We start from the raw sequence: 13,695 nt of genomic DNA on the forward strand, positions 1-13,695 counted from the left end.
AGAGTGTAAGCATGGGTTCCTCTTGATGATAATGCCAGAGTGTTTACCAAAGGACTGTACCAATTTTAATTCCCATAAGCAGTGGATGAGAGCTTACATTGTTCTCCAATCTCTCCATCCTGATATTGACCAGTTTGTAAATTTTCACCATTCTGGTGGTATTTTCTTGGAATGCTAATTTGCATTTACTGATCATTCATAGGTTTAGGCACCTTTTCATAAATTTAAGAACCATTTGTGCTGCTTCTGCTATGAAATATGTGTTCAACTCCTTTGCCCCTTTTTCTTTTGGGTTTCCTTTTTCATATTGATTTGGAGTTCTTTATATTTTCTGAATGCTAGTTGCATTAGTTCGTTTTCACACTGCTACAAAGAACTGCCTGAGACTGAGTAATTTATAAACAAACGAGGTTTAATTGACCCACAGCTCCACATAGCAGGGGACACCTCAGGAGACTTACAGTAATGGCAGAAGGGGAAGAAGAAGCAAGTATCTTCCTCACAAGGCAGCAGGAGAGAGGAAAGAGAGCGGAGGAAACTGTCATTTATAAAACCATCAGATCTTGTGAGCACTCACTCACTATCACGAGACCAGCATGGAGGAAACCACCCCCATGATTCAGTCACCTCCCACCAGATCCTTCCCTCAACACATGGGGAGTATGGGGATTACAATTTGAGACGAGATTTGGATGGAGATACAGAGGCAAACCATATCACTAATTTTTATCAGTTATATGTATTGTAAATGTATTTTCAATTTGAGGCTTGTCTTTTTATTCTCTTCAGGGCATTTTTATTTATTTATTTTTTTTGAAATGGAGTCTTGCTCTGTCTCCCAGGCTGGAGTGCAGGGGCGTGATCTCGGCTCACTGCAACCTCTGCCTCCCAGATTCTCCCATCTCAGCCTCCCAAGTAGCTGGGACTATAGGCATGCACCACTATGCCTGGCTAATTCAGAGCATTTTTTAAAATGAGCAAGAAGTTCTTACATTTTAAAACTTTTGGGCTGGGTGCAGTGGCTCATGCCTGTAATCGCAGCACTTTGAGGGGCTGAGCTGGGTGGACCATCTGAGGTCAGGAGTTCAAGACCAGCCTGACTAAAGTGGCGAAACCCTGTCTCTACTAAAAATACAAAAATTAGCTGGGCGTGGTGGCAGGCAACTGTAATCCCAGCTACTCGGGAGGCTGAGGCAAGAGAATCGCTTGAACCCAGCAGGCGGAGGTTGCAGTGAGCTGAGATGGTGCCACTGCACTCCAGCCTGGGCGAAAAGAGCAAAACTCCATCTCAGAAAAAAAAAAAAAAGGCTTTTTATATTTCAGACTGAAGGAAAAGTTATAAAAGTAGTACAAAGATTTTTTCATCCAGATTTTCTAAATGTTAACATTTTATTGCATTTGCTTTAACACTTTATCTCTTTTATATTTTTCTTGCTGTTGTAAATGGTGTCTTTAAAAATTGCATATTCTAACTTGGTGGTGTTTAGAGATGCAATTGACTTTTTATATTGTTTTTCTATAGAATTTTGATAAACTCTCCAATTCTAACATTTTTATACATCATTTGGCATGTTTTCCAGGTAAGTAATTAAGTCATCTGCAAATAATGACAGTTTTTGTTTTGTTTCCAGTCTTTTTGAGGTTATACTTCTCTGATTGATGCCTTCAGTACCAAGTTGAATAGGTACGTTAATAGTGAGCATTCTTGTCCCCTTCCTTGTCTTGAAGGCAACATTTTCAACATTTCACCATAAAGAATGATGTTTGTGGTAGTTTTTTGTTTTTCCTTTCTTTCATTTTTGAGGTTGCCCATGATTGGGTGTGGAAGTTCCCTCTCATTCCTAGTTTAAGAAGACTTTTGTTTTAAAAAAAACATGAGTTAATGTTACATTTTATTGAATACTTTTCTCTGTGTTTACTGAAATGATCATGTTTTTTTTCTCCTTTAATCTGTAAATGGAGTGGATTTCATTAATCAATTTTCTAGTATTACATTCTTGGGATAAACCCAACTTGGTTTTATGCATTATCTTTGTTTATACATGGCTGGATTCAGCTTGCCAATATTTTGTCTAGGACTTTGGTATCTATGTTCATGAATGAGATTAGCCCGTCACTTTCGTTTTGATTCTTTGTCTAGTCTGGATAACAAGGTTAATGTTTTGGTCATCTTCTGCTACATAAAAATTTGTTCTAGGTATTTGTTGTACGTAAAAAACTACCCCAAACTGAGTGGTGTAAAACAACAACAATTATTTATTGTTATTATCTATCATGGCTCTGGGGGTTGACAGGGCTCAACTAAGTGGCTCTTGATTGGGATCTTTTGTGTGTTTGCAGCCAGAGGGTGGCTGGGAATCACTTGAAAGGCTTTCTTGCTCATTTGCCTGCTGCCTGATTTGGGAAGACTCAAACAGGTGGAGCTGGAAAGCTGAGACTCACAGGTATCTCTTTCTATCTCTATTTGTTTTGGTTTCTTCAGCATGGCAGTTTCCAAGTCATTGAGCTCCCAGAGACTTCCAGAGCAAATATCCCAACAGAAACTGGTAGAAGCTGCATAGCCTTTTCAAATCTTGGAAGTTATATGGCACCTCTTCTGCTGCATCTTGTTTGCTGAGGAAGTCACATCAGGTTTCAGGGGAGGGCACAGAGACTTCACCCTTTTTTTCTCACTATATTGCCCAGGCTGACCTTGAACTGCCCAGGCTGACCTTGAACTCTTGGGCTCAAGTGAACTTCTCAGACTACAGGCACATACCACCATCCCCAGCTGACTTCACCTTTTCAAGGAAGAAGTTTCAAAGAGCGTGTGACACGATTTAAAATCATTATACTTAAACTAGCCCCATAAAATAATTTCAGCAGTGTTTCCTCTATTTTTTCATCCTCCAGACTATTTGTGTGAGATTAGCATTAATCTGTTCTGGAAATTTTGGTAGTGCTGATCTGTAACACCAAGTGGACCTTGCATTTTCTTTGTGGAGCCACTTTTGACTACACATTAAATTTTGAAAATGGATATAGGGCTCTTTATCTTTTCTGTTTCTTGTTGAATCTTATTTTTAGGCCATGTAGATTTATTACTCATAGATAGGCAGCAAGGATAAACGGAAGCCTAGGATCCATGGTGAGCCGGTCCAGCAGGGCTCAGGAAAGCTGCCCAGGGTAGATGGAGTCTCATCTCCCTGTGCCCCATGTTGCACCACAACTGAGGGGCCTCAAAATCACTCTGCTCTGGCCTGGGTTTATGTGCTCTGGGCGTCACTTGGCTCACTGAGCACCAGTGTTGCAGAATATCCAGTTCTAGAAGGAATAAGGACATAGCCCTGGTTGTTTTGGACATTTCCTCCTTATCTCAGGATGTTGCATTCTTAGTCCATCCTGCCTGAGAAATGCAAGCAAGAGAGGGAAGAGCTGGGTCAGCCAAGGTCATCTGGAGACGTGTGCTACAATTGTGGTGCCTGCAAACTCTATTGCAATTAGTCATGTACAACATACTTTCCCAGACTATGAGCTCTTTGAGGCCAGGAACTATTTATAATTTATCTCCATATTCATGTGCCTGGCACCATGCCTGGCTCATCATAACCCTCTTGCCGAATGCAGACAGTAGAGTAAAAGCATAAAGAAGTGTGTAGTCAGGAAGTCTGCCAATTTAGGCAGTCAGGTGGAAGGTTTAACAGGGGAAGCAACATTTGAGCTGTGCTTGAAAGATGATTTGGTGTTAGCCAGGCAGGAGAGCGGAAGGAAAGACACTGGAAACAGCACCAGTAAAGCACAGAGATATAACACAGTACAGGATAACTGCAGGCTGTATTAGTCCATTTTCATACTGCTATGAAGAAATACCTGAGACTGGGTCATTTATAAAGGAAAAGAGGTTTAATGGACTCACAGTTCCACATGGCTGGGGAGGCCTCACAATCATAGTGGAAGGCGAAGGAGGAGCAAACGCACATCTTACATGGTAGCAGGCAAGAGAGCATGTACAGGGGAAATGCCCTTTATAAAACCATCAGATCTTATGAGACTTTTTCACTATCACGAGAACAGTACGGGAAAAACCTGGCCCCATGATTCAACTACCTCCAGCTGGGTCCCTCCCATGACACCTAAGGATTATCAGAATCACAATTCAAGATGAGATTTGGGTGGGAAAACAGCCAAACCATATCAGAGGGCTATAGGTCAGTGTCTTCAGAGCCTATCAGAGTGCTTGGCTCACAGTGGGTGCTCAGTAAATGCTTGTAGATGAATGAATGAATGAATATATTGATATCCTTAACTTTCTTACTATAGGAACATTTCTGTCTATAAGACCAAATCTATTGTTTGTGTTTTAAAATGTAGATTTTATTATTATTCAGATATGATGAAGCCAACAGATCACGAGATGATGGCTATTGCAAAGATAGTTTGTTACTCAAGTTTCCCAAGAAGAGGGGACAGGCCACATTATGGGGTTGGGGACACATAAGGAAGCACTAGGGTTGGTCAAGAGGCAGAGGGAGCAAGGGGAAAACATGGGCAAGGGCATTTATGGTGGTTTCTGCAGGAAGAAATGGGCAAGGCAGGATAAGCAAGTTTAGGCTTGGTTAGTTTGAATAATTTCAGTGTGCTCTGAGGAATAGGGGCTGTCTCTAGATACCTGGTACCTAGCCCTGGAGTGATTAGGGCAGGTAGGTATTAGCCCTGAGTGTGAGAACTCAACAAAGGAGGTGGTTGGGCTATGGGCTCTTAATGGATGTGTTTGCATACAAAAAGTGCACTTGTAGATGAGTTTAGTTTAGTTTTGTTTTTTTTTTGAGATGGAGTCTCGCTCTGTCACCCAGACTGGAGTGCAGTGGTACGATCTTGGCTTACTGCAACCTCCGCCTCCCGGGTTCAAGCAATTCTCCTGCCTCAGCCTCCTGAGTAGCTGGGATTACAGGCACCCGCCACCACACCTGGCTAATTTTTATATTTTTAGTAGAGACGGGGTTTCACCATGTTGGTCAGGCTGGTCTCGAACTCCTGACCTCGTGATCTCCCCAACTAGGCATCCCAAAGTGCTGGGATTACAGGCGTGAGCCACCGTGCCCAGCCTGAGTTTTTTTTACTATCCCTAAGAATTGTCTAACCCTGGGAAGGGCAGTTCCCCAAGATTCATCAAGGTCCCAAGATGTCAATGCAGCAAATATTGAAACTAGAAAACACAATGATTGATTATACTTTGACAATTAGGGAATTCTGTCTCTTAGATCATTTGGTGATAGAGCTGTGATCACTGGGAACTTTCATGACCTGTTTTGTCTTGATACCACCCATTTTCATGCCAATTTTTGCCATATTTTATTATTTCATTTATTCATTCATTTAATAAATACTTACTGAGCATCCACTGTAAACCAGGCCCTGTGTCAGACTCTGGCCCTCGCAACTTGGTCAAGAGAGACAGCCTAGGAAGCAAGTGGAATTCCTGCCTGCATGGTTAGTGCTCTAATGAAGCCCTAAATACTGTTATCTTCAGAGGCTCCTTGCCCTCCCCTGGATTCCTCAGGTAGGAAGGTACCTTGATGTCAAGTTTAGTGCCATCTATGGAGGCAGTTTCATTTCTCATAATGGAGGATTTGCTTTTAATCAAAGAGAAGGCCTTTTGTCAGTCTGAGAGCTTTGTCTTTTTTGTGACTTGCAGATAGACATTTTAATAATAGGACTAGATACGTGGCTCTTGGAGACCAGGCTGTGACTTTAAATAGTGTGAAGACCCCAATGGCTGGATTCACAGGGGCAATCTGAATACTGATCATGAATTTTTAAATGGCCTTAGAAAGTGCAGCATGATTTTAGGAGAGATTTCCAATTAACTTGGGCTGTTCAAAGCAGCTCTATGCCTGGGAAAGAGAATGCATGAGAATTTTCCAAAGAGCTTTTTCTCTTGAAACAGAAAATATAAATGGTAGTGGGGGGAAAAAAATCAAAGTTACTGAATATGGAAATCACCACTTTGGGGTTTATGAGAACCACATCCTGCTAACTCCCTGCTATGCGATGGGGCTTTCAGAGGTAATGAGGCAAGTACCAGAGTGTCAAATGTCTGCCTTGCTTTACACTTATGTGTGCTCTTGTCCTGGTCCTCCTGCTGGTAGGCTACATGCTCAGCCCAGGCAGAGATGGTGTCTGACTCCTCCTTCTAGTCTCCTAGGGAAAATCTTGCACTCAGCAGGCACTTAATGCACTCTGGTGGGATTGAACTGAAAAGACAAGACTCCCCAGGAAGGCATAGGGAGTCCTCCTGTTGCCTATTACTCTGCTGTGAATTGGAGGCACAGCAGCCTCTCTGAGGCTACAGGCAAAGGCTTTTGCCTTCTGGATGGAGGAAGGAAACTAGCTCTTACTGAGCCCTTACCATATGCCTGGTAGGCACCTTGCAGCATTTTTTCATCAAACCTCTTGATAACCCTTTGTAATTGGTATTGTTACCCCCATTTTACAGATGAGGAAATAGAGGCACTGAAGAATAAGCTCTCCTGAACGATTTTCACTGGAAAGATTTTTCAACATTCCATCTGTCCACTCCACCAGCCTGAGACAACCATCTTTACTGAGGTTTTGAATAGTTAAGCAGGAGGTAATGCACTCTTAACAGTGTTTAAAAGGATTAAGCAATTCAAAGCATACCTCCAAGGAACCCCTGCCAGAGATGCTGAATCTTGAGTTTGCTTTCTTCCTCTGAAGGGCATCTGAACTTTCACCTGACTCCTTATGCTTAGCTCAAACGGGGGCAGGTTCAAGCAGGAAATCGGATGGCCTGAGAGGTGCTGCCACTGTAATTAAGAACAGAGCAGACCATTGCCAAGACTCAAGAAAGTTGTATGCCTCTTAATCTGGTTTGTTTCATTAGGCCTTTTACTAATGCCCAAGTTATGGCCCTTCTGAAGGTGGCTAGAAGCAGGTGTTGGGGTGGAAGTGGGCCTAAAACCCAGAGCCCAGTGGCTGCTCCGCAAAAGAGAGATGGGCAATAACATTAAAATTATATTTATACCTCAACTTAGTCCACAAAACTGAGGTTCAAGCACTGAACCACCTGCCTGATCATTGTCACCACAGGGCATGATCATTTACAGTCTGGATTTGACAATACATCAGAGAGCATGGACTTATGTTTGGACATTTAAAAACCGCCTCCACGGGAGGCAGAGTTTGCAGTGAGCACGGGTGGCAGAGTTTGCAGTGAGCTGACATCACACCACTGCACTCCAGCCTGGGTGACAGAGGGAGACTCTGTCTCAAAAAAACAAAACAAAACAAAACAAAACAAAACACCTTCTGAATATCGCATTCAAAATAAATTTTTAAAAGTTATCAAAAACTTCCTAAATGATGCAGATTCTTAGGATGATACAGGTATTTGACTTTGAAGAGGACAAAGGCTGATTGCAATTCTTCTTCTGACACGAGACTCTCCGACAGTGTGTGTGGCTCCCTTTACTTTCCACATCTTCCTTCTTTCTTCTTTCCTAGCTTCATTCCTTCTGTATCTCCTGCATCTCAGACATCATAGCAGAAACTGCTAATCATTTTTCAATGTGCATTCTCCTCTTCTTCCTTCAGGAGAACCCTCAAGTTTTTGCTGAGGAGATAGCTGCTCAGTTAAAAACCAGATTTCTCAGCCTCCCATGCAACTATGTGACAATGTGACTCTTTTCTTGCCAGTGGTGTGTGAGCAAAAATAATACGTGCAACCTTTGAAAGTGCAATTAAAAAAAAGAAGAAGCATGCCCTGTTCTTCCTCCACTTTCTCCTTTCCTCTGCTTGGCACATAGCTATGATGGCAGGAGTTGGAGCAGCCATTTTGGGCCATGAGATGAAAGCCTTATATTGAGCCATGTTTTGAGCAGAAGAACAGAAAAGAAAGAACCTGGGCCCCTGACATTACTGAGCCACCATAAAGACCTAGGCTCTCTACTTGAACTTCAGGTAAGAGAGAAATAAACTTCAATATTGTTTAAGCCATTGTATTTGGGCGTTTCTCTATTATAGCAGCCTACCATGTATGCTAACAGAAGTCATAGATGTATCTTTTTTTTTTTTTTTTTTGAGATGGAGTCTCGCTCTGTCACCCATGCTGGAGTGCAATGGTGCGATCTCTGCTCACTGCAAGCTCCACTTCCCGGGTTCACACCATTCTCCTGCCTCAGCCTACCGAGGAGCTGGGACTACAGGCACCCACCACCACGCCTGGCTAATTTTTGTATTTTTAGTACAGACGGGGTTTCACCATGTTAGCCAGGATGGTCTCGATCTCCTGACCTGGTGATCCACCCACCTCGGCCTCCCAAAGTGCTGGAATTACAGGCGTGAGCCACTGCACCCAGCCAATAGATGTATCTTTAAAGCCAGCTATAGGTAATATTCAGGATAGAGAATTAATGGGTAACAGACTGGAAGTCAACAGAACAATTCACCCATCCATGACTTGCTGGTCAAAACTCTTTAGCAGCTGAAAGACTGTAGAAGAGCATGTCTCGTGGTAGCATCCACCCAAGAAAAGGTGGAATGGAGAGGTTTCAATGGAATGGAAGTCAGACAGACATGAGTGCACTTATTAGCTCTGTAGCTTTGGGTAATTCTTAATACCCTTTCTCAGTTTCTCCTTCTATTAAATGGATACAATAACTCTTGCCTGACTATTTTGTGAATCAACAAGACCATATGTTTAAAGAGAAGCATAGTGTGAATGAAAGAGCCAGAAGGTCTGGATTTGAGTCCCATCTGCCATTAACTTGCTGGGTTGCCTTAGGCAAGTCACTGCACTTCTCTGGGCCTGGTCCCATATCCTTCAAATGCGGAAGTTTAGACTAGATTATCTCTGAGGTCTTTTCCTGCTCAGACATTGTATGGTTCAACAAATTAGGCTATAATATTATGATGAGAGTCAGAATTTACAGCAACATTTTGCTGAAGGTGGCCTGGCTGGCACTGGTTCCTGAGAGTGGATTGTGTGTATCAGTTCTTAAATTGGTAGTCAGTTCTTAAATTGGGTCAGGATGGCAGCTTGAAATAGGCCATAGTAGGAGTATTTACACCACAGAAATTGGCAAACACTATGAAGTGGGGCTCCCCCCTACCCTCCACAGAGAGCTGGTTGTTAAGCACTTACCCGCATGCCACTTACTACAAGGAAAGAAAAAGTTTTTGTATGCTTTGGTGCTCACAGCAGCAAATAACTAGTAAAGCTTAAGATGAGAACGTGCAATATTTGTCTATAATGTACGGAGGACTGAGGGGGAAGAATTAGAAGTTACTCCACTCCTAGATCCCAGGTGCCCTGGTCCAGTGCTAAGTTATAGTAAATGGGCCCCTTGTGGCATGAAGGAGTTAGTATCTCTTCCTCAGTCACTAATTTACCTGGGCTTATTGTCCTGTTGTGCTTCTGGTGCACCATTTTGTAATTTAATTAAAACTGGAGGCTTGAGATAATGGGCTGGTCGTGCCTGCAACCCCACCCTGGGTAAAAGTTGGGCCCCTGGGAGCAGGAAAAAAGGTCTTCCAAGGCACCAAGTGATCAGGAGCAGTCGTTACATTATTCCAGTTAATCCAAATGAAGTAGTTACCTAAGGCCCTGACTGATCTAGCCAAGTGGGACCTGTGGCTTGGAAAATGTTTAGAGATTCTGGACCAAGGGATTACCCACTTACTCATTCTCACCATTTAGAGTGTCTTCTCCAAAGCGTATTTTGAGATACAGCACTTCCTTGGTATGCTGGTAGCAATCCTTCCCACCCCAAAATACCTCATGGTTAAATAAGTTTGGGAAACACTGAATTTAACAAAGATAAACAGGTTATTTATGGCACTACTCCTCAGACATTTTCATAAATTAAAGTAGTGCTTCTCCAACTGTCTGTGGTGATGGATCAGATTTTAAAATTTCTATTCAATGCATGATTTGGAAATCAATACATCCTATTGCCCATTACTAATAACAGCTCTTGTCTTGTGCACTTATTGTGCAAGTGTGGACATTCAACCTGGTCTAAATCTTTCAATGAGATGAGTTCATGGCTATGCACTTGGATGACCCAGCAATGTCCAATTGCTATAAAAGTCTCTAGTTGGGAGTGAGACCGGCCCTTCGGTTTGCACGGGAGCCGGGTGAGGCCTGTGACTACTGGCTTTCCTCCACTTCCCTGATAACCTGCATGACTCAGCAGAGGAAGCCATAATCCTCCTAGGTACACAACTCTGGTGACCCGAGAGTCTCACCCCCATTCTCCACAGCAGCTGCAGCAAGACCCGCCCAAGACAACCTGAGCTCAGACACACCTAGCCCTGCCCCCACCTGATGCTCCTTCCCTACCCACCCTGGTAGCCGAAGGCAAAGGGCATATAATCCTGGGAGTCCTCACCCACTGCTGGTCCCTCTCCATACTACTACAGCTGATGCTTTCTGGAAAGTGCCACCTCCTGGCAGGAGGCCAACCAGCACAAAAATAGAGCATTAAACCACCAAAGCTAAGAACCCTCAAGGAGACCATTGCACCCTGTCCCCACCACCACCTCTACTGGAACAGGCACTGGTATCCATGGCTGAGGGTCCCATAGAAGGTTCACATCGCAGGACTCTGTGCAGACAACCCCCAGTACCAGGTTAGACTTCCTAGGTGGCTAGACCCAGAAGAGAGACAACAACCACTGCAGTTTGGCCCACAGGAAGCCACATCCATAGGAAAAGAGGGAGAGTACTACATCAAGGGAACACCCCATAGGACAAAATAATCTAAGCAACAGCTTTCAGCCCCAGACCTTCCGTCTGACAGAGTCTACCTAAATGAGAAGGAACCAGAAAACCAACCCTGGTAATATGACAAAACAAGGCTCTTAACACCTCCTAAAAATCACACTAGTTCACCAGAACTGAATCCAAACCAAGAAGAAATCCCTGATTTACCCGAAAATGAATTCAGGAAGTTAGTTATTAAGCTAATCAGGGAGGCACCAGAGAAAGGCAAAGCCCAATGCAAGGAAATCCAAAAAATGATACAAGAAATGAAGGGAGAAATATTCAAGGAAAAAGATAGCTTAAAGAAAAAACAGTCAAAAATTCAGGAAACTTTAGACACACTTTTAGAAATGTGAAGTGCTCTAGAAAGTCTCAGCAACAGAACTGCACAATTAGAAGAAAGAAATTCAGAGCTCAAAGACAGGACTTCAAATTAACTCGATCAAACAGAGACAAAGAAAAAAGAATAAAAAAATGTGAACAAAGCCTCCAAGAAGTCTGGGATTATGTTAAATGACCAAACCTAAGAATAATTGGTGTTTCTGAGGAAGAAGAGAATTCTAAGAGTTTGGAAAACATATTTGGAGGAATAATCAAGGAAAACTTCCCCAGCCTTGCTAGAGACCTAAACATCCAAATACAAGAAGCACAAAGAACACCTGGGAAATTCATCACAAAAAGATCTTTGCCCAGGCACATTGTCTTCAGGTTATCCAAAGTTAAGAGGAAGGAAAGAATTTTAAGAGCTGTGAGACAGAAGCACCAGGTAGCTAATAAAGAAAAACCTATCAGGCTAAGAGGAGATTTCTCAGCAGAAACCCTACAACCTAGAAGGGATTGGGGCCCTATCTTCAGCCTCCTCAAACAAAACAATTATCAGCCAAGATACAGCCTTTTTCAGACAAACAAATGCTGAGAGAATTCACCATTACCAAGCCACCACTACAAGAACTGCTGAAAAGAGCTCTAAATCTTGAAACAAATCCTAGAAATACATCAAAACAGAACCTCTTTAAAGCATAAATCACACAGGACCTATGAAACAAAAATACAAATTAAAAAGCAAAAACAAAAGACAAAAAAACCAAAGTACACAGGCAATAAAGAGCACAATGAATACAACCGTATCTAACATTTCAACACTAACATTGAATGTAAATGGCCTAAATGCTCCACTTAAAAGATACAGAACCTCAGAATGGATAAGAACTCACCAGCCAACTACCTGCTGCCTTCAGGAGACTCACCTAACACATAAGGACTCACATAAACTTATAGTAAATGGGTGGAAAAAGGCATTTCATGCAAATGGAGGCCAAAAGAGAGCAGGGGTAGCTATTCTTATATCAGACAAAACAAACTTTAAAGCAACAGCAGTTAAAAGAGACAAAGAGAGACATTATGTAATGGTAAAAGGCCTTGTCCAACAGGAAAATATCACAATCCTAAATATATATGCACCTAACACTGGAGCTTCCAAATTTATGAAACAATTACTAATAGACTTAAGAAATGAGATAGACAGCAACACAATAATAGTGGGGGACTTCAATACTCCACTGACAGTACTAGACAGGTCATCAAGAGAGAAAGTCAACAAAGAAACAATGGATTTAAACTATACCTTGGAACAAATGGACTTAACAGATATATACAGAGCATTTCACCCAACAACCACAGAATACACATTCTATTCAACAGTGCATGGAACTTTCTCCAAGATAGACCATATGATAGGCCATAAAAGGAGCCTCAATACATCTAAGAAAATTGAAATTACATCAAGCACTCTCTCAGACCACAGTGGAATGAAACTGGAAATCAACACCAAAAGGAACCTTCAAAACCATGCAAATACATGGAAATTAAATAACCTGCTCCTGAATGAGCATTGGGTTAAAAATAAAATCAAGATGGAAATTAAAAAGTTCTTTGAACTGAATGACAATAATGACACAAACTACCCAAACCTCTGGATTACAGCAAAGACAGTGCTAAGAGGAAAGTTCATAGCCCTAAATGCCTACATCAAAAAGACTGAAAGAGCACAAACTGACATTCTAAGGTCATACCTCATGAACTAGAGAAACAAGAAAACACCAAACCCAAACCCAGCAGAAAAAAGGAAATAACCAAGATCAGAGCAGAACTAAATGAAACTGAAACAAACAAACAAACAAAAACCCACAAAAGATAAGTGAAACAAAAAGCTGGTTCTTTGAAGAGAAAATAAAATTAATAGACCATTAGCAAGATTAACAACAAAAAAGAGAAAATCCAAATAATCTCACTAAGAATGAAACTGGATATATTACAACTGACATCACTAAAATACAAAAGATCATTCAAGGCTACTATGAACACCTTTATGCACATAAACTAGAAAACTTAGAAAAAAATGGGTAAATTCCTGGAAAATCAAACCCTCCTAGCTGAAATCAGGAAGAATTGGGTACCTTGAACAGACCAATAACAAGCAGCAAGATTGAAATGGTAATTAAAAAATAACCAACAGCAGAATTCTACCAATCATTCAAAGAAGAATTGGTATTGATACCAATCCTTTTGACACTATTCCACAAGATAGAGAAAGAAGGAACACTTCCTAATTCATTCTATAAAGCCAGTATCACCCTAATACCATAACCAGGAAAGGATATAACCAAAAAAGAAAACTACAGACTGATATCCTTGATGAACGTACATGCTAAAATCCTTAACAAAATACTAGCTAACTGAATCCAACAACATATCAAAAAGATAATCTGCCATGATCAAGTGGGTTTCATACCACGGATGCAGGGATGGTTTAACATACACAAGTCAATAAATGTGATACACGATATAAACAGAATTAAAAACAAAAGTCACATGATCATCTCAATAGATGCAGAAGAAGCATTCAACAAAATCCAGCATCACTTTATGAT

General features: G+C 41.7%; 3 annotated features.

Moving 5' to 3' along the window:
- Positions 2,189–2,386: a silencer, noted in NCBI's record as "fragment chr11:31960853-31961050 (GRCh37/hg19 assembly coordinates)". NCBI's record gives its function as "represses an EF-1alpha promoter that drives an FKBP-Casp9 reporter gene in an ReSE screen in K562 erythroleukemia cells {active_cell/tissue: K562}" and the evidence as "EXISTENCE:reporter gene assay evidence [ECO:0000049][PMID:32094911]".
- Positions 6,166–6,275: an enhancer, noted in NCBI's record as "active region_4559". NCBI's record gives its function as "activates an Ori minimal core promoter by ATAC-STARR-seq in GM12878 lymphoblastoid cells {active_cell/tissue: GM12878}" and the evidence as "EXISTENCE:reporter gene assay evidence [ECO:0000049][PMID:35858748]".
- Positions 12,966–13,015: an enhancer, noted in NCBI's record as "active region_4560". NCBI's record gives its function as "activates an Ori minimal core promoter by ATAC-STARR-seq in GM12878 lymphoblastoid cells {active_cell/tissue: GM12878}" and the evidence as "EXISTENCE:reporter gene assay evidence [ECO:0000049][PMID:35858748]".

Source organism: Homo sapiens, chromosome 11, assembly GCF_000001405.40.
Source record: "Homo sapiens chromosome 11, GRCh38.p14 Primary Assembly".
In the NCBI taxonomy this organism is placed as follows: domain Eukaryota; kingdom Metazoa; phylum Chordata; class Mammalia; order Primates; family Hominidae; genus Homo; species Homo sapiens.